Source organism: Homo sapiens, chromosome 12 (genome assembly GCF_000001405.40).
Source record: "Homo sapiens chromosome 12, GRCh38.p14 Primary Assembly".
Classification (NCBI taxonomy): domain Eukaryota; kingdom Metazoa; phylum Chordata; class Mammalia; order Primates; family Hominidae; genus Homo; species Homo sapiens.
This window is the reverse complement of record NC_000012.12, coordinates 50,615,781-50,637,247: the sequence shown is the minus strand read 5'-3', so window position 1 is coordinate 50,637,247 and position 21,467 is coordinate 50,615,781. Positions and strand designations below refer to the sequence as shown.

Below are 21,467 nucleotides of genomic sequence, written 5' to 3'. Positions count from 1 at the left end.
ATAATATTTCCATGGCTCTTGCCTATTACCATCTCATTATGTCTTCACAACAGCACCATGTGATAGATACTATTAATGAAGCAGGATGCCCGTTACAGATTTTTCCACAGTGAGAGGGAACCAATAATCACCTTGAATCATTATAGGGCCCTCACTCCCACCCCATCCAAGAAGGCTCAATCAATCTAGCCTCTTGATTGAGAGGCTAGAGCAGCTGTGAGTAATTGAGGACAGTCTTCCTTTGAAGGGTCGGTGATTAACCTCACCGCCTAGAGAAGGCAAGAGAGGAACGAGAGTGCTAGTGTCTGGAGTCTGGAAAAGGGGCCACCTGCCTGTTTTCCAGGGGTAGACTCTGTAAGGAGAGCGGGTTGGGAGCTCCAGGTCTGTAAAGTGGTAGGTGTCTGAACAGATCCTGACCCAGAGCTTCCTTGGCCACTTGACATCAGGAAAATGACAGTGCATGAGGCTAAAAGAGCCAACACCAGGAGCTCTGCTCCGGGAGTCCAAGTAGAGTACCTGGCTCCTCCTCCATGATGCATCAGAGTAGCCGATGCAGGGAACAGGCTCAGCATTACTGGCTGGTCACACAGTGAGGACCAGTTATTCAGCAGCACCCTGTGAGATGATGGAAAGCAAACAGCAGACTGTGGGGATCTTTCCCCTTTGGGTGTGAAAGCTGGATCTACTACCTCTCCTTTTGCACTGCCTATATAATCCCTGAGGGTTCTCAGACAATTTAGGAGGAAAAAGAAGCCCCAAGAGGAAAATACTGGACTTCCTTCTGATGAGATATACGGGGGCAGATATAATTGCAATGTGTGCTCCAATTCATAGTGATTCCAATACCATCCAAACCAAACAAATGAAAGCAGAATGGGGATTGGAAAAAAGATTCTATGTTCTTTCCATTATGCTATGAGCCTCATTTGGGAAGGAACTTTTAAATCAAAATGAGACACATAAAACAAAATAGATTCCACTCCTCAAACCCTATGCATACATACATACACAGAGGCACATTGCCTACCGAGTATTTACAATTGGAAATGTTCTGTGGCATTCCAAAATGCTGTTCCTGATTTCAAAAACTGGTTTTAAGTTCACGTCCCTTTGAATTTCCACGCTACTTTGTTTAGAGCTCTCTTACAGTACTTATTCTACTCTCTTTTATGATCCTCATTTGTGTAACTGTCATCTCTCCTGCTATAGTGTAAATAACTTGAGGTCAGAGGCTGGTCTTAAGCATCTTGTATCTCCTATAGTAACTGGTCCTTGGTCTTTCATATTGCAAGCATTTAGTATTTTAATTAAAATAAATAATTAAGATCTTGTCTGTCTCCTCACCTCCACCAATAATAGTAGTTGCTCGGAAAAAATAAACACAAAAATGTTGAGATAGCCATTTAAAGTTTACCTAAAAATCCTGCTTATTTGTGTATCTCCAATTCATATAAGTTGTATGCAAAAATGTGTGCCTCTCATTATCTTCATATACTTACACAAGGACATTAAGGAAAATAGGGTTACAGACTACTCCAGGAGGCATTATTAGAGGCTTGAGAGAGAGAATAAAACACAAGGGTTTTCCTTTGTTTCATTTTAACTTGGTCACACTCGCACCCTTGAACAACTTCAAAGGCAGGACTGAACCTAGAAGAACTGCGATGAAAGGAGCACGAAGCAGCTGCCAAGTGCAGTGTACTTATAGGAACTGGAACACCGGGGACTGCCACTCAGCACAGCAAGCAGCAATCACAAAAGGAAGCCACGTTTGGGAAAAACCTTTGGGTGACCAGAACTTCTTATCAAGGCAAGCTAAAGAACATCAACAAATATTAATAACTATCTTCATAAACTTATTATTTATCCCTAAAAAATAAGTAGGCAGGAATCTGGGGGAAAAACAATGCAGAAACATATAGGTCAAGAAAGAAAATGTGAAAGGTAAGATCTTATTCTGAAGCAGGAGATAAACACAATTCACTTCAAAAATGAAGTGAAAGACGAAGTAAGTCACAGGATGAAGAAAATCAAACACACAAACGTCACAAATAATCTCAAATACAGTAAGACAAAACAGAATGAGCAGTATCCTGCCTCTCCTTTTCTTTCTGCTCATTTCTGTTGTTATAAATCTTGTAGTACTATTTAAAATAGATGTACCAACTTCATTTAAAAATTAAAGAAATGCTAGAATATCATTTGAGAATTGATATACTCTGCACAGCCTCTTGAGGTTTTAGTAGGTCTATATTAAAAGATCTATTGAGGGTGGAAACAAGTTGCCAGGATCAATCTACAAGAGACCACTCTATAATGTGTAGAGTGCCCTGCTTCTTGTATTACCTAACACTTTTATCTTCATAGATGTTTACTCAAGAAAATGCCAGAAATTCTAAATGCTCTTTCTTTTTAGTTGTGCAAACATTTATAGAACATCTACTATATATCAGGCACTAATGCTAGAAACTGGGGACATGAAGAATAAAAAAAAATAAAAAATAATGTTCCTCCAGTAGGTGAATAAGACACACAAACAGGCCACAATCTATGGGATGGCCAAAGACAGCTCTTTTAAAATGCAACTCAGATAATGGAAGTGGGGACTATTTATAGGGCTGGTCAAGGAGGGCCTCTCCAGGACTTCCCTAATTGAACAAACCCCTAAGTAGAGTGACGGAGCAAGCCAGGTAGGTTCTGGGCAGTGTCTTGTCCCATGCTGTCTCCTTGGTGTCGAAACAGTATTTGGAACACAGTAGGCACTCAGTAAATACATACTGTCCTTAGATTTGTCAGTAACCCCTGTAAGTTTAGAATGAACTCTTTTTCTATTAAAGCTAGCTGGAATTATCAGTTACTTGTATCCAAAGTATCTTAAAGATTAGACCACAGGACCAGCACAGGGAAATTGCCTTTCTACACAAAATCTTCCATTTTCCTGCAACTACAAGAGTGGCCAAGAGTGACTAATTTACAGAGAAGTTAGAATGCGTGTGGTCTGAAACTTCAATTCTTTCGGCCACGCCAAAAGAAAGAGTCAATTTCCTGGCCACTTCTCCCTGGAAGTCTGCTAATTGAGACATGTGGGAAGCTTTATACTTGGCCACAGTAGCCTCCAACTACTGAAAGATGTTCTGTGGGCCATTCCTTTCAAAGAGCAGACAGCTCAGAATGAGCAAGAGATGGGAGGTGTGAATCTGCCGTATCTTCATTTCTCTCATGCCTCTCAAAGTCGGAGCGTTTTGAGGACCTGAATTTTTCATCTTTAATCTTATAAATTTTAATTTGTTAAAAGACAGCATGGCCCTTAAATACCAGATAAGGTATGGCTCTTGTTTAACTAAAGAAACAACTGTCAGTTCCAATGCTGGGAGGTTTAAGTGATTTTTTAGGGTAATTTTGAAGCAGATTTTTGCCATACAGTGACTTTAGAACCTAATCCCTATGATGCTACTGAATTAAGTTAGTTTTTCTTATTTTTGGAGACAGGGTCTCGCTCTGTCAACCAAGCTGGCATGCAGTGGCACAATCACGGCTCACTGCAGCCTCAACCTCCCAGGCTCAAGCAATCCTCCCACCTCAGCCTCCTGAGTAGCTGGGACCACAGGTGCGCGCCACCACACCTGGCAAATTTTTTGATTTTTTTGTAGAGATGAGGTCTCACTATGTTGCCCAGGCTGGTCTCAAGTGATCATCCTGCCTCAGCCAACCAAAGTGCTGGGATTACAGGCATGAGCCACTGAGCCCAGCCAGCCATGCTTAATATTAACCAAACTTGTCCATACTAAATTTCTACTACTTCCTTTTTCGGTCTATTTTTTGCATGTTATTCTTCCTTACACAATGACATGTTACTCAGGTCTAATGTTCTAAAAAGATGAAACGCATCATGAATTTGCATGTCATCATTGCACAGGGGCCATACTAATCTCTATATTGTTCTAGTTTTAGTATATGTACTGCCAAAGCAAGCACCCTATTACTTACTATTCAAATATTTTCTTCAAAATTGCATTATCTTCCATATTTCCTGTTACACTGTTAATTTTTTCTGAAGTCCTGTTTTAAAGATTTATGTAACATTTGAGAAAAGAAGTATACAATATACACAAATACGCAACCCAAGATAACTACAGATCAATTCCACACACAAAAAAAATCATTCACAAGGCAGGGAGAGGTGGCTCACACCTGTAATCCCAGAACTTTAGGAGGCTGAGGCAGAAGGATCGCTTGAGCCCAGGCGTTTGAGACCAGCCTGAGCAACATAGCGAGATCCTGTCTCTAATTATTTTTTTTTTTAAGAAAAAAAATCACTCACTAAATTTTTAGGTAAGGAGCATGTGCACACAATAATCCCAGTAATAAAATGTTGTAGTATTAACTTTTTATTTAAAAAGATACCAGTGATTAGACCAGGTGCAGTGGCTCACGCGTAATCTCAGCACTTCGGGAGGAGAAGGGAGGCGGATTACTTGAGGTCAGGAGTTTGAGACCAGCCTGGCCAACATGGTGAAACCTTGTCTCTACTGAAAATACAAAAATTAGCCAGGTGTGGTAGCACATGCCTGTAATCCTGGCTACTCAGGAGGCTGAGGCAGGAGAATCACTTGATCCCGGGAGGTGGAGGTTGCAGTGAGCCGAGATCACGCCACTGCACTCCAGCCTGGGTGACAGAGCGAGACTCTGTCTCAAAAATAATAAAAATAATAATAAAAAATAAATAAAAAGACAGTAGTGAGAATGTTACCTTTTTTTTTTTTTTTTTTGAGACAGAGTCTTGCTGTGTCACCCAGGCTGGAGTGCAGTGGCACAATCTCGGCTCACTGCAACCTCCATCTCCCAGATTCAAACTATTCTCCTGCTTCAGCCTCCCAAGTAGCTGGGATTACAGGCATGCGACACCATGCCTGGCTAATTTTGTATTTTTAGTAGAGATGGGGTTTCTCCATGTTGGTCAGGCTGGTCTTGAACTCCCAACCTCAGGCCCACCTCGGCCTCCCAAAGTGCCGGGAGTACAGGCGTGAGCCACTGAACCCAGTCCAACTCTACTAAACTTTAATAAAGTTTAATAAAGTTTAAATTTGCATTCCAATGCCATTTAAAAAGTCAAACTAGGCAGGGTGTGGTAGCCCACACCTGTAATCCTAGCACTTTTGGAAGGCGGAGGCGGGAGGATCACTTGAGCTCAGGAGTTTGAGAACAGCTTGGGCAACATAGTGAGACCTTCTCTCTATTTAGGAAAAAAAAAAAAAAAGTCAAATTAAATGGCTTCCTTCAAAATTTACAAAGATATATGGGGTAAATATGCCAAAGGGTAATCTCTTCTTTTGACATGGAATGTATATAACATAAATTACCCAACCCTACAACCCACCCCTTTTTGGGAAGGACATTGTTAATGAACAAAATGGTCAAATAAAGTGAAAAACACAAAATGAAAGAATTTACCACTGACAGACCCTCGCTAAAGTATTTGGCTACTAAAAAATGTGCTTTAAGAAGAAGAAAATTTAGCCAGGCATAGTGGCTCATGTTTGCAATCCAAGGACTTTGGGAGGCTGAGGCGGGCAGATCAGTTGAGGCCAAGAGTTCGAGACCAACCTGGGCAATATGGTGAAACTCTGTCTCTACTAAAAATACGAAAATTAGCTGGGTGTGGTGGCACAAACCTGTAATCCCAGCTACTGGGGAAGCTGAGGCACAAGAATCGCTTGAATCAGGGCCGGGCACGGTGGCTCATGCCTGTAATCCCACCTCTTTGGGAGGCCGAGGCAGGTGGATCATGAGGTCAAGAGATCGAGACCATCCTGGCCAACATGGTGAAACCCTGTCCCTACTAAAAATACAAAAATTAGCCGAGTGTGGTGGCAGGTGCCTGTAATCTCAGCTACTCGGGAGGCTGAGGCAGGAGAATTGCTTGAACCCAGGAGGTAGAGGTTGCAGTGAGCCAAGTCTGGGCCACTGCACTCCAGCCTGGCGACAGAGGGAGACTCCGTCTCAAAAAAAAAAAATCGCTTGAACCCAGGAGGTCCATGGAGGTTGCGGTGAGCAAAGATCACAGCACCGCACTCCAGCCTGGGCGACAGAGTGAGACCCTGTCTCAAAAAAAGAAAAGAAGGAGGAGGAGGAAACTGACCGGAGAAAGAGTGAGGCAGAAGAAGGAATAGTAAAGAAATGGATAGTAACTATTGTTAACTACATAAAACAGTAACTGATAGTTGAAGGCATACTAAAATAAAGGTGATACTAAAATGTAAGATAAGAAGTGGTGGATGGCCAGGCACGGTGGCTCACACCTGTAATCCCAGCACTTTGGGAGGCCGAGGTGGGTGGATCACCTGAGGTCAGGAGTTCGAGACCAGCCTGATGAACATGGAGAAATCCTGTCTCTACTAAAACTACAAAATTAGCCGGGCATGGTGGCACATGCCTGTAATCCCAGCTACGCAGGAGGCTGAGGCAGGATAATCGCTTGAACTGGGGAGGCGGAGGTTGCAGTGAGCCGAGATCACGCCATTGCACTCCAGCCTGGGCAACAAGAGTGAAACTCTGTCTCAAAAAAAAAAAAAAAAAAAAAAAAAGAAAAGAAAGAATTCGTGGTGATCAACATCAAAGCATTCTAAAGTCCTTGTGTCCTTTAAGAGAATTAAGATGTCTAATAACTATGTTTAGATTTGTTTTTTAAAGCCTTAGGATAAAAAAACACCATAGGGACAAACACAGTTACTCATGAAAGAAGAAACAATTTACAAGGAAGATTATAATTCTTAATTTGAATGTACCTAATAACATAGCTTTAAAACATATAAAGCAAAACTTGACAGAATTACATGGAAAACTGACAAATCCACAGATCTGTCAGAGAGAGAGAGAGAAGAGAAGAAAGACAAGAGGGAAGGGGAGACAAGCAACATAAAGCAGAAGGTTTACAAACAAAGAGAATATTATAAATAACTTTGAAAACTAAACAAAACAATTTCCTAGAAAAATTGAGTTTGGCCGGGTGCAGTGGCTCACACCTGTAATCCCAGCACTTTGGGAGGCCGAGGCAGGTGGATCACAAGGTCAAGTGATGGAGACTATCCTGGCCAACATGGTGAAACCCTGTCTCTACTAAAAATACAAAAATTAGCTGGGCGTGGTGGCACATGCCTGTAGTCTCAGCTACTTGGGAGGCTGAGGCAGGAGAATCGCTTGAACCTGGGAGGTGGAGGTTGCAGTGAGCCGAGATCGCGCCACTGCACTCCAGCCTGGCGACAGAGCAAGGACTGTCTCATTAAAAAAAAAAAAAAAAAAATTAAATTTACCAAAACTGGCTCAAGAAGAAACAGAAAACTGATAGGGGTTGGTAACAAAAGAAGGGAAGGAAGACAGGGACGTTGAGGATGACTTTTAAGCCTGTAACTTGCTGGGCTTATGAATGTGGGTTGTATTCACTCAAAAGAGAAAACTAGAAGCACAGGAGCAGGTTGGATGTTGTAGTTGGTTTTCTGGAGAATGCATGCAGGGAGGGGTTAGTAATGGTGGTAGAGGCAGGGTGCAGAAGTCATAAATTTAAATTTTGGATATGTTGAAATGGTGATGCCTTTAAGGTATATAAGTGGAGATGTTAAGTATGCAGTTGGATCTATGGATCGGGGGCTCGGAAGAGATCGGGTTGAAGATACATATTTAGGAGTTACCTAAATTCAAATGATAATTAAAGTCACAGGTGTGGCTGAAATAATCTAGAGAGATACAGCATTGGTTCTCAAAGTGTGGTCCCTGGACCACCAAGCTCAACATTACCTGGGAAATTAACAAAAATGCTTATTCTCAGGCCTCACCCTGGACCAGATGAATCAGAAACTCTGAACCTGAAAATGGGGCCCTGCAGTCTGTGTATTAACAAGCCCTCCAGTGATTCTGAGGGCTTGCTACAATTTGAGAACCACTGATATGGAGTGAGAAGGCAAGAAGTCTTGGTCCTTAACTTGAGAAATCTAACATTTAACAGACAAAAATGAGCCTGTAAGAAAGACCAGGAGCAGCAGGAAGTGAAGGGTAAGAAAATAAGAAGAGTAGGTAGGACATGGTGGCTGACGCCTGTAATCCCAGCACTTTGGGAGGCCGAGACGGGTGGATTGCTTAAGCTCAGTAGTTCAATACCAGCTTGGACAACATGGCAAAACCCTGTCTCTACAAAAAAAAATACAAAAATTAGCTGGGTGTGGGAGCTCATGCCTGTAGTCCCAGCTACTTGGGAGGGTGAGGCGGGAGGATCACTTGCGCCTGGGAGGCAGAGGTTGCAATTAACCCAGATCACACCACTGCACTCCAGCCTGGGCGACAGAGCCAGACCCTGCTCAAAACAAAAACAAGAATGAAAGAAAAGAAGATAAGAAGAGAGATTCAAAATAAGAGTTTTGAGAGACAGGGTGCTGAATACTACTGAGATTAGATGGCAATAGCTCCAGAAGGAACTAAAACGGGCTGAGAAGTGAGCATTTGAGAAAATAGTGTTTAAGTATAGACAGTTCTGAGCAGTTTGATTAGAAACAGGAAACAAAGAGGGTGAAAATGGAAGTGGCTGACAAGTAAATGGAGGATTCTTTTTTAAATAGACAGTAATAAGCATGATGAACTGCTGAGGGACGAATATGGCTGAGAGAGTGACTGTACGAGACAGAGAGAATGACTGTACGATAGAGATGAGGACCTGACAGCAACGGCATACCAAGGGGGCAATGCAGCTGTCTGCCTCAGCAGGAGAGGTCTTTATTACAGCATTTAGAATTGCTGCACACAGTGATACTTTTTAGTAAAAAGCAGACCAATTTTTTGTCGTTTTCATCATTGCTTTTTATATTTTTATTTATTTATTTATTTATTTTTGAGACGGAGTCTTGCTCTGTGGCCTAGGCTGGAGTACAGTGGCATGATCTTGCTTCACTGCAACCTTTGCCTCCTGGGTTCAAGCAATTTTCCTGTCTCAGCATCCCGAGTAGCTGGCATTACAGGTGTGCAGCACCACGCCCGGCTAATTCTTGTATTTTTAGTAGAGATGGGGTTTCGCCATGTTGGCCAGGCTGGTCTTGAACTCCTGACTTCATGTGATCCACCCGCCTCGGCCTCCCAAAGTACTGGAATTACAGCGTGAGCCTCCACGCTCGGCCCATCATTGCTTTTTAAGTTCTCTACAGATACTGTGTGCCTTACTGACTGCAACCAGGTAGACTGCTCTCACTGCCCTATCCTTGGTGCCATTGGATAGTATAAGATTTGGGGAAAAGGAGGAGGGGTTGGGATCTAAAGCATAGGTAGAAGGACTGTCCTTGGCCAGGAGGAACAGATAATCTTTTTAACCAGAAGGAAGGAAGTAATCATGGAAGGGGACAGATGTTGGAAGTGTGGCATCAGGAAGTTGAAGGAGTTGTCATCGTATGCCTTCTATTTCCCCTGTGAGGTCACCTGCAAGGCCATCCCTACTGGGGGAGGGATATGCCACATTCTCTTGGCCTACTGCAATTAAACAACTGATTCATCAAATGCATGCTCACTAAGCAAATGATTTGGTTCCCATTATAGGCTTGCCCATGGGGCAAGAATGTGCTGACCATACAGATTTCTCATAGTAGGCCAGGCGTGGTGGCTCACACCTATAACCCCCACACTCTGGGAGGCTGAGATGGCAGTACTACTTGAGCTCAGGAGTTCAAGACCAGCCTGGGCAATAAAGTGAGACCCCAACTCTACAAAAAATAATTAACTGGGTGTGGTGGCGCACACCTGTAGTTCCAGCTACTCAGGAGGCTGAGGCAGGAGGATCATTTAAACCTGGGAGATTGAGGCTGTAGTGAACCATGATCGCACCACTGCGCTCCCGCCTGGGTGACAGAGCAAGAATCTGTCTAAAAAAAAAAAATTTCTCATAGTAAATTAATAAATTGATTTTTGAACATGATTTGGTTTCTGCGTAGCCTGACTACGGATAACAAACTGTGGTCCTTTTTACAGTTATACCTCTTGCTGAGCTATTGCTTTTACACCAAGTGACTCAAGTAAATCTCTGGGCCTTCAGAGGCATGGGCCAGATCCACAATAAGCAGCAAATCAAGGTAACCTCCTCAACCCCTAGGTCATGCCTTGCTCAGCAAAAGCTGGCTTTTCACTAGCTGTCGCTGGCCCAATTTCCACCTCTTTTCTCTCAATTCATTTCTACATACACCTATTCATTGAGATATCTTAAATTAGCTGTCAGTGTATTGACCTACTAGTTTCTCTATGAAGGTATTTCCAAGAACAATACAGGAAATAAAACAAGCACATCAAAGAAATATATTGGTATATCACCATTATTTATTTATTTATTCCACTGTTCATTCAACAAATATTTACAGGCCATAAACCCTGTGCAAAGCTTACTATGAGAACTGTGGGAGATACAAAGTCCTCATGGTATTTATAATTCAGTAAAAAAAAAAAAAAAAAGCCATTAGTTCCACAAAGAACAGGCTTGCAGAAACACACTTTGGTTGAAGGGGGTAGAAAATCAGAAATAAAGACAAAACACCCTATAGTAAAAGTGATATAAGCAGAAATAGGCTGTCAAAGGAAATCCTGCAATCTGAGTAACTTTAAAAATATGATGATTATTTAGAGACAGCCTTGCTTAGAGGCAAAGGTTATGGCAACCCCTTTGGCATTAAGCATGAAATTAATTCAGGACTTTCTGATATATAAACAATGTGCTAGTCTCTCTATAGAAGCAGTAAGTCTGGCTTTGAATTAATCTACAAGTTCATTTAGGGTTTTACCCCCCAATCCTCAAGTATTGCCATTCGATAGGGGATCTGTCCTTCCTTCCTCCCTCTTGCTCTTCTTCATCACGGTTTGTGCACCATCATAAATACGATGTGGTTTTTCCATGGCTTGGAATTTTCTGCCATGGAATCATCTCAGTTATGCATAGTCTTTCACACACTACCACCCAAGTTCTGTGTAAATTATCTGATGACCTTAGGTATTTTTAAAAGTGCCTAGCACACAGCAGATGCTCATTAAGATTCATTTCCTCCTTTCTTTCCTTCCGTTTTTTTCTCTCCCCTGGTGAGGAAGGGAGGGAAAAACAGGAACAAACAAAAGATAGAGGTCTTGTAAGACAGCATCTTTTGGTGTAAAAATACTGAAAAAGTTGAAACCATTTTTTATTGCCTACCTTGTGTCTGCGGGCTGTAAGGAGATAGGAGTTTGGACCTTTTCTTTTCATAGCCCTTCTGGGTGATGTCCCCTAAAATAGCAAGAAACAGAAATAGGTTATGCATTATTCTTACTCTGTGGTTTTCCACTGTAAAAATAAAATTAATTACAGAGTTATAGAACTACCCCATATAGAGGCAGGGGGTTGGGGGGGGGAATGTATGGTTCTTTGCCAAGGATTTTGCTATGTATGATTTCCCACAGGCTTGGAGCTGACTTCCTGTAGAATACTGTAGAGCTTGTCCCAAAACCAATCTTGCATAGCAATATGTTGTATACCATGACAGAGATCCCCAAGTTCCTAGGCATCCCCAGCTTCCTTGGTATTTAAGATATCCCAAAATGGAATGCAGCAAGGCTGACAACGATTTCTCTCTGGAGTTTCAATTTACCAAATGAGTACAACTGGTTTCTGAGGTATTCACTTATACTGCTATACGAACCACATAAAAGTAAGAGAAGACAAAGTTCAGGCTCTGGATGGGATAATTAAAAGGACTTTCTGTACCCTAACACCTGTGCTGGAACCTGGGACTGGAATTCCCACATCCCCTCCCCTTGGTTCAATGCTTTGTCTTATTTACTCATGTGGCTCTCCTTTCCACAAAGTTAAATTTAAAAGTATGTATGATGCACAAATTAGTGCATATACAACAAATGCAATAAGGATAAACTGATAAATACAGGAGAAAATCTGTAGTTGAAGTGGCAAGAAATGGACTAGGTACTAAGGAAACGGAAATAGATAAATGAGTAGAGAGTAGGGTTAAAAGGAACAGGAAATGCAGAGAAACAAGAGGACGTTAAGGGAGAATGAGTGATTTAAAGCTGAGGGATGAAAGATATGTGGTGAGGTGACATGACAGAGCACTGTTTTCTGAAAAAGAACCTTTTAAAATAAGAGATAACTTTATTTACTGTGAAGCCTTACATAGAACCTAATATATAAAACAGGAAAAAAAGTCAAATTGTAGTATTAAAAGTACTTTAAACATTCAAAATTTTAATATCCACTTATTAGGGGAAAAAAGCATGTCTGACGGATACAAATTTGCAATCAAGGGTGATAAATGTCAGGTGCTGTTGGCCTCAGCCTCCAATGCTGCAGTGGATGATGGAGAGGAAGCAGGGATCACTAAAAAGGGCTAGAGCAGAGGACTTAACACTGCACTGCAGCAAGTTCACCCTTGCTGGGAGAATGAGTTGTCAGGAACCAAGACTAAAAGCCAGAAGGAGTAGATGTTGGTCCAGTGCTACTACAGAGATCTGGGTAAGAGTAAGTAGTAGCTTGAATTAAAGACAGTGGTAGAAGGGATGAATGAAGTGAATGAATTAAGAGGAAGACCATAGGATTTGCTGACTGCTTGAAAATAGGGGCCAGGTGCAGTGGCTCATGCCTGTAATCCCAGCACTTCAGTAGGTCGAGGTGGGTGGATCACAAGGTTGGGAGTTCAAGACCAACCTGGCCAACACGGTGAAACCCTGTCTCTACTAAAAATACAAAAAATTAGCTGGGTGTGGTGGCACATGTCTGTAATCCCAGCTACTCAGGAGACTGAGGCAGGAGAATTGCTTGAACCCGGGAGGTGATGGTTGCAGTGAGCCGAGATCGCGCCACTGCACTCCAGCCTAGGCAATGGAGCAAGACTCTGTCTCAGGAAAAAAGAAAGAAAGAAAGTAGGGTGAAGCTGGTTTCTTGCTTGAGGTGTGTGTTTGGTGAGGTCGAAGAAAAGAGTTAAGCTTAGGACAGGCCTGTGGGACACACAAGAAGAGACAGCTAATCAACAGTTGGTTTTATCTAGAACTCAGGAAAGAGAGATTTGGAATCATTGGGATATAGTTGAAAAATAAAATGATACAATCCTCTTAGAGTAATTTGCAAGTTTCTATCAAAATTGATTCAGCAGCTGTACTAAGAATTTATTCAATGATAACATTCACACACGTGCACAAAAATCATTAAGAGTATCCTGTGCTCTACTGTTTACAGTAAAAAAACAAACTGGCAGCAATCTAGATGCTTATATTATAGACCATCTATATCAGTGGCTTTCAACTAGGAGAGTTTTGTCCCCCAGGAGACATGTGACAATGTTGGGAAACATTTTTGTCACCATGGAAGAAGAGGTGCTACTGGCATCTAGGGGATAGAGGTCAGGGATGCTGCTAACAACCTGCAATGTCCCACAACAAAGATTTATCCAGCCCAAAATGCCAGCAGTGCTGAGGATGAAAAACTCTAATCTATATAATAATGGGCAAGTAATCCAAATATATTGCCACAGGAGATGTAATACATTACGTGTAAAAGGCAAGCTGCAGAACAGTAGGTATAACATCATCTGATTCCGTAAAAAATTAAAAAAATTTTTAAAAACAGTAATAGGTATGTTTGCATATACACAGAAAATAATCTGGAAGGCTATATACTAAATTGTTTATCCTTGGGTGAGTGAGAGTGTGTGTGTGTGTGTGTGCGTGTGTGTGTGTGTGTGTCTGGAAGGCTATATACTAAATTGTTTATACTTGGGTGAGTGAGAGAGAGAGAGAGAGAGAGAGAGAGAGAGAGTGTGTGTGTGTGTGTGTGTGTGTGTGTGTGTGTGTGTGTGTGTGTAGATACATATATTTTGGAGGCAGGGTCTCCCTCTATCACCCAGGCTGGAGGGAGTGCAGTGGTGTGATCATAGCTCACGGCAACCTCAAACTCCTGGGCTCAAGGGATCTTCCCACCTCAGCCTCCCAAGTGGCTGGCACGCCACCATGCCTGGCTAGTTTTTAAATTTTTTCTCAAGACAGAATCTCGCTTTGTTGCCCGGGCTGGTCTTGAACTCCTGGGCTCAAGCAATCCTCTCGTCTCGGTCTCCCAAAGTGCTAGAATTACAGGTGTGAGCCACACCTGGCCTGTTTTATATACTTTAGTAGAGTTTGATTTTTAAAAACTAAGCCTGATTTATATTAATTCAAAAGTACACATCTTTCTAAGAACGAACGGTCCATAGGTGTATATTTGCTAACAAGGTGGTTTACACAGTATATTCAATTTTAAGAATGATATTTTTGATAGGTCATTAGATGGGGTAAAAAAAAAAAAAAATAGCTGGGCAAGGTGGCTCACGCCTGTAATCCCAGCACTTTGGGAGGCCGAGGCACGCAGATCACCTAAGGTCAGGAGTTCGAGACCAGCCTGGCCAGCATGGTGAAACCCTGTCTCTGCTAAAAATACAAAAATTAGCTGAGAGTGGTGGCGCGTGCCTGTAGTCTCAGCTACTCAGGAGACTGAGGCAGGAGAATCGCTTGAACACAGGAGGCAGAGGTTACTGCGGTGAGCTGAGATCACACCGCTGTACTCCAGCCTGGGCAACAAGAGTGAAACTCCATCTCAAAAAAAAAAGGAATAATGTGTTTGCACACATGTAAAATTTTTTTCTGTGTATGCACTGGAAAAGTGTGCATGTTTACCCACCAAAATATTAACAGTGGTTAGTTATGGCTTGCAAGATTATGAAGTGGTTTTATAGTTTCTTTTCCTTCTTGCTCTTATTTTCTAATTTTTCTGCAATGAACATTATTTCAAGAAACAATAAATATTTTAAAACTTCAATCATGACTACTTACTACACTATACAAATTTAATCACAATGGTCCTTCATCTGTTTCCCTAGTAAAATACAGAAACTGAATTTTTGTTAAAAAATAATTAATTAAACCTTTTCAAAGCAGCCAACTCAAGACTTCAGGGAATTTCAAACAGTAAATACAGCTAACAGGGGTACAGAAGCCTACCAAGTAAACCGTCATTAGAAACAGGAAACCATGTCTTTTATTGTAAAAGAAATACCAAAGCATTCTTCTGTTCCATTCGCCACTCACAAGATCTCCTACCTCCACCCCCTACCCTGGCACAAAGGCCACTTCTGATGGCTCAGAACACATCTGGCAGAGTGACAAAGTGAAAGGCCTTTAAAAAGCTTTCTTCAGTGCTTAAGTCTCAGTCAGGCAATGTCAGTAAATGATCGTGGGACAATCTGTTAGATTTGGCATCCTGGATATTAATCAACTACTAACCACCTCAGGTTTTGAAAGAGGTCAATCAAGACAGTCTAGTTCAGCCATGCCAATTAGCTCCATCAGATCCACAAACGAGCAAAGAAATTAAGGAGACCTGGAAGAAGCTGAGCTGCAGTGAGAATGCGAGGACTACAATGCTAGGCCTACAGTATCTTTAAAATGCTCCCCCTCCCCGTTTTCTGACTACAAGACCCTGTGCTCAAAAGTCACCCCTCTGTGATGCCTTCCACTACTTCCTCCTAGTGCGCCTACAAATCTGCATACATATCTGTGATAGCACTTAGCACCCACTGGTATTTTAATTATGTGTTTACACCCCATGTCTCCCTACTAGACTGTGCACTTGAGGGCAGGGATTGTGTCTTGTTTATCACTGTAGCCCACCCACAGCCTGGCACAATAGACGCTTGTTGAACAAGTGACTGAATGAATTAATAAAATGGAGGCAGTGAGAGAATAATAAATCAAACAGACATGTGTACTTGGTGGAAAACTAGAAATGGGAGAAAAAGAGTTCTTTAGCAAGAGCTGAAAGGCTCAGGGAATGGAATTTAGTGGACCAGAAGTTTACCGAAACTTGACAGCTAGATCTTAAAGGTGAACAAAAAAGCAATGCTTGGACTGCCTGAAGAGAGGAATAATATATAAATCACAAGGCACTAAAAGCTAAGAACTCCAAGCCAGATATAGATACATCCCTTAGCTAGAGGGCAAGACCAGACAGAAAGAAATCAGTGAGAATCTGTTATTTCACATTTCTGTGGTTGCCACCACTTATAGTCTGTGCTCTTAAATCATCCTCACCACCTGTACTTACACAGATTTTGCTGCACTAAAGCAATGTTTTTCAACCTTGTCCAATTTTTAAGATTCTCCCAAGGAACTTGCAAAAATACGAATTCCCAGACCCCTCCCATGGAGACTCTGATGCACTAAGTCTGGATTAAGATCCAGAAATCTCTACTTCTAACAAGCATCTTCCAATGAGTCCTAAAGCCAGGCAAGTTTGGAAATTGCTGCAGTGAGGAATCCTGTCTGGTGTATGCTGGATGGTTCTGCAGACTGAATGTGAGGAGGGAACTGATTGGGAGGAGGGGGAAGAATGCTGGCTGGGCTATCCAGCCACAAGGGAGAGCACAGAACCTCTGGAGCTCAGACACTGAGTCACACCACAGGCTTTCTTACTCAGAACAGACTTTTTGCCATCTGGCATATAGAACAAAAAGGAGAATCATAATGATACCTATATAAAATTTGCATTAAAATGGCATATAAGGTAAACCTGTTGTTCAAGTTTTTTTGAGAAATAAATACAGGGAGGATTAGCCTTCCCCTCCCACTAGAGTAACGTCTTTTGTCCAGGTGCCTGCAGCGCTTGGCAGGAGTGGAGGCAGGCATAGAGCCTTGTATGAAGACACTGACCTAAACCAACAAGAGAATGGTCGTGGCGAGTCTGCGACCCACACGCTGTGAGACTGTCCAGCTGCATCAGAATTACCACAGTCTTCAGCAGCCAGCAGCAGACATACAGAAAGACACATGTGTGAGGCTGAGTATAAAGGACTTATGTTTCCAACTTCTTTCCTCACCACCTGGGATCAATGAAAACAGCTTGGCACAAGTGGCCCACAAATCATCTTCAAGTTGATTGAGAGAGGGCTGTGAGGAGGCGTGCGTGAGCCTGCCAGCCACCCAAGCCTCCTAAAAGCCACAAGGTGGTAGGGAGAACAGTCGCATAAGTAGTGAGCAGTTAGTGTGTATTTACACCAGTCAGGTGGGTGACACTGCTGTGGTGAAGAGCTCAAGGGTCTGAGCTAGACAGAACCACATCTGAGGCAAAAGGACTCTAGACAAGTTTTATTTCTTGATAAATCTGTTTCTTTCTTTTTCTAAGACAGGGTCTCACTCTGTCACCCAGGCCGGAGTGCAGTGGCATGATCATGGCTCACTTGTGGGCTCAAGTGACCCTCCTGCCTCAGCCTCCTGAGTATCTGGGACCAGATGGGTGTGCTATCACACCCAGCTAATTTTTAAAAAGTTTTTTTTATAGAGACAAGGGTCTCACTATTGCCCAGGCTGGTCTCAAACTCCTGGGCTCAAGCAATCCTCCTGCCTTGGCCTCCCAAAGTGTTGGGATTACAGGTGTGAACCAATGCGCTCAGCAGAGCCTCAGTTTCTACATCTGTGAAATGGGGAACAGTCTCTCCCTTGCAAAGTTTTCATTGTGATTTAAAATATAGGGTCTGGGCTATGGAAAATAACATCAACAAACATTACTAAAAGCCTACCCTACTGGCCAAGTGGGGACAATTATGTCGCAGAGAAGAGGCACAGGCAAACAAACATGACTAACACTCTATAATTAAGCGCCATGGGAGACACGTACACAAATGCAGCACCTTCTGGAACCCAGAAGGAAGCATCACGATCTTGGCCTGAGTAGGGAAAGGAATGCTTCACGGAGCAGACGACATTTGGTTTGGGTCTGGCTTTTCATTCTCTTATCAGAAAGGTGATATAAATTCCTAACGATACAGTCACTTAGTGGTTTGCTAGTTGTACTCTGCTGCTGACTGGCTCTGTATGGGCATGGCCATGTTTGGTAGTTGTTCAGGATTCCTATCTCCCAAGAAATGTGGCAATGCTAAGTAACTTTCATTTATGACCTTGTGCAGTACCTTGAGCAATTAGGGGCTAAATAAACACAACATCTGAAAAATTCTGGAGGGTCATCAAGTCATATGTATAACTTTTTCTATCGGGAGCAGTCTTAATGGACAGAGAGCAAGGGTTACAGCTGCAGCCATAAACTTTCTGCCCCAGTGGAAATAAAAGAGCATATGCCATGCAACCCTGCTTTAAAGTCACAGCTATGCAGTCAGGGGTGGTGATAGAGGGTGGGGGGACTTTGGGAAGGAAAGAAAAGCATTTTTGAGCACTGAATGGATGATATGCAGGTCATTAAACAAAGACAAATAAAATAGTATCTTTGCCTTCAAGGAGTTCCCAGTCTAAACAAATATTACAATAAAAGTACAAGTGCTACACTCAAGATTATTTGCAAAGTCCCATGGGAGCAAGGAGAGAATGGTAATGAAAATTATAATACTCGATAAGAACATATAAGTAAAATAACACTTATCAAGGGCCTCCTATGTATCAGTCTCTGTTCCAAGAGCCTCACAACAGCCCTATCAGGTGATATTATCATCATTTTTCTCAATTTATAGGTGAGGACAGTGAGGCACAGAAGTTTAAGCAATTTGCCTACAGTCACACCTAGTAAGTGCTGTGATCAGGATTTGAATCCAGGCAGAAATGGCTCCAGAGCCCCTGCTCTTAAACACCACCATATATTCATTTTTACAGAGACGCTCCAAATTCTACTTCAGAAAGATTGAGAAAACATCACAAAAGTTGCTCTTGGGTTAGGTCTTGAAGGATGATCGTCAGGAGAGAGAGACACTGAGGGTGAATGCACAGTTTATCAAACCCAGAGTTTGGAAAAGAGTGGCATGCTTGGAACAACAGACACAGAAGCTGTAATTTCAATCACCGATGAACAGAGATGGCCCTGCTGCTACTCCTGCAGCCTAACCTGAGGTAGGACTTGGCCGTTTGTGCCTCACCACGAAATCCTCAGACACTTGACGTTGAGGGTTGATAGTCACCTCATGGACCCATCAATTTACTTCACTCTTCAAAAAATGGCACTATATAACACCACCACCAATCTAACATTCTTTTAAATTTTTTATTCTTTAACTTTTCAAAACATTCTGACATCAATTCATTTGATTTGGCTGAAAACCTTCTTCAATAAACGGAAAAAGCATTACCTTCATGAGAACAAGAAACTGAGATGTGAAAAGTTAAATGTCTTGCCTAAGCTAGACTAGAATCTCTGGCCTTTTTCTTGCTGTTCTTTGTCCATTGTTATTTGTAGGTGGCCCCTAAATCAGATGCAATTTAAAAAAATTAAACCTGTTGTCCATAAACAAACAACATAAGCAATTACTATGAATCACTTCAAAATACAGATGACTTTCGAAAATGTATTAACAATTCTGCTCCTCAACAGGACCCTGGCTGAACTGTCTCTTTTAATCTCCTTCATCTTTTATTTTTTTGAGATGGAGTCTCTCTCTGTTGCCCAGGTTGGAGTATAGTGGTGCAATCTTGGCTCACTGCAACCTCCACCTCTGGGGTTCAAGTGCTTCTCCTGCCTCAGCCTTCCAAGTAGCTGGAACTATGGGCAAATGCCACCACTGCCGGGTAATTTTTGTATTTTTAGTAAAGACAGGGTTTCACCATGTTGGCCAGGCTGGTCTCCAACTCCTGACCTCAAGTGATCCACCTGCCTTGGCCTCCCAAAGTGCTGGGAATATAGGCATGAGCCACTGCCCCTGACCCCTTTCATCTTTTAAACCAGACAGCCAACTGTGGAAACTGTGTCCAACTGGTGTTTTAAAAATAGCAAAAAAGGCCGGGTGCGGTGGCTCACGCCTGTAATCCCAGCACTTTGGGAGGCCTAGGCAGGTGGATCATGAGGTCAGGAAATTGAGACCATCCTGGCTAACACGGTGAAACCCCATCTCTACTAAAAATACAAAAAATTAGCCAGGTGTAGTAGCGGGCGCCTGTAGTCCCAGCTACTCGGGAGACTGAGGCAGGAGAATGGCATGAACCCGGGAGGTGGAACTTGCAGTGAGCCGAGATCGCGCCACTGCACTCCAGCCTAGGTGACAGAGCGAGACTCCGTCTCAAAAAAAAAAAAAAGCAAAAAGATCATTATACATCATTACTAAATATTCATTTACATAGAATATGGCCAACATCTTCAAATCTATACCTGAACCTAATCATCCTATTCTATCCTTTAAATGTAAATTTTAGACCAGGAAGGTGGTTCATGTTGGCTATGGCTGGAGATGGGGAGTAAGACTAGGGTTATCACTACTCATACATGAGGGATACAAGTAGACAAATAAAGAGAAAGAGATAAAAATATAGCTGAGAATGTGAATGAGAGCAATCTTAAAGCAAAGCTGAAAAAGGCAGAGGATGTGAATACTATCCAGGAGAAGCTGGCTAGAAGACAAAAATTTCATTATTATATTTTATCATGTTCTCTTCATAATGATAATTCCATCCAATGCAATATATATAGCAGCTGCCCATCTTCAAATATCCTCCTTCCAGAGGTGATCTAGAAAGGCTCACAAACATACAAAATGAAGCTCACAGTCATACAAAACAAGGACCTTAACAATTAAACCAGCTCCTGGCCTCTGTCTTCCCCTATTTCTCTTGCTGTTTCTTACTGAAAGTGTCCAACAGGACTCCAAAGAATTTACAACCTTGAATTATTTTAAAAACTCTCTGTAGTTTCTTTCTACACAGAGGTAGAATTGATCCTATGATGAAAAGAGTAAAAAGACATAACATTTTCATAGTTTAGCCAGAAATAAAGCTCTGTTAAACTACTACAATCTGTTGAAAGAAGATGAGAATTTTTATTGTATCTAATTTTTTTGGAATAAAATAAGTGGTTCTAAAAGTCTTCAACCGGCAGTCTATAAAAGCTATAGTTTTAACTCAACTTTGCTAATCTTACAAACGGTTTTTCAAGGAAATTAACTCTAGGACATTCAAATTTCCATTCTCAGTAGAGATCCTCTCACCTCATTTAGGACAATGACTAGACAATTTCCATGTCAAGAACTAGAGAATAAGCACAGACTGCTTTCTCCTCAAACACAAACCATAGAATTGCTTTGGCTGCACAGCCCTGTTTTCTAGGTCAAACATATGTGACTTCTTACAAATGGTATTTCACCTAAGGCACCAAGCAAGTTCAAACAAAAAGCAACAAAGTAAAACACTGAGAAAATGATCTGTAAGTCTCATCATCAGGCGCTGGTTAAATTAATCCATCTAATGCAAAAGGTATGTTTATTTGTCCACTTAGAAAAACCATGCCTGCAAAGAAGAAGTTTGCTCTACAAATGACCTGAGGTGTCAAAGGGACAGGAGGAATCCAGGGGATGGTTCAGTCAATAGAAAGAGCACGGGTTCTAGCATGAAACAGATCTGGGTTCGAACGCTGAGTTTGCTGTTTTACTTGCTTCTTGACAAGTTACTTAACAACTCTGTGC

General features: G+C 42.0%; 1 protein-coding gene and 1 pseudogene across 1 annotated transcript in view, besides 1 other annotated feature; both read right to left on the bottom strand.

The window, feature by feature from the left end:
• DIP2B (disco interacting protein 2 homolog B) overlaps positions 1 to 21,467 on the bottom strand; it is a 243,673-nt gene that overhangs the window by 111,410 nt on the left and 110,796 nt on the right. The window contains exon 2 of the mRNA NM_173602.3: positions 11,201 to 11,272. Coding sequence (NP_775873.2) covers positions 11,201 to 11,272 — 72 coding nt within the window. The remainder of the gene's footprint in view (positions 1 to 11,200; positions 11,273 to 21,467) is intronic.
• RNU6-769P (RNA, U6 small nuclear 769, pseudogene) lies at positions 3,872 to 3,975 on the bottom strand (annotated as a pseudogene).
• Positions 16,445 to 16,634: an enhancer, noted in NCBI's record as "active region_6361". NCBI's record gives its function as "activates an Ori minimal core promoter by ATAC-STARR-seq in GM12878 lymphoblastoid cells {active_cell/tissue: GM12878}" and the evidence as "EXISTENCE:reporter gene assay evidence [ECO:0000049][PMID:35858748]".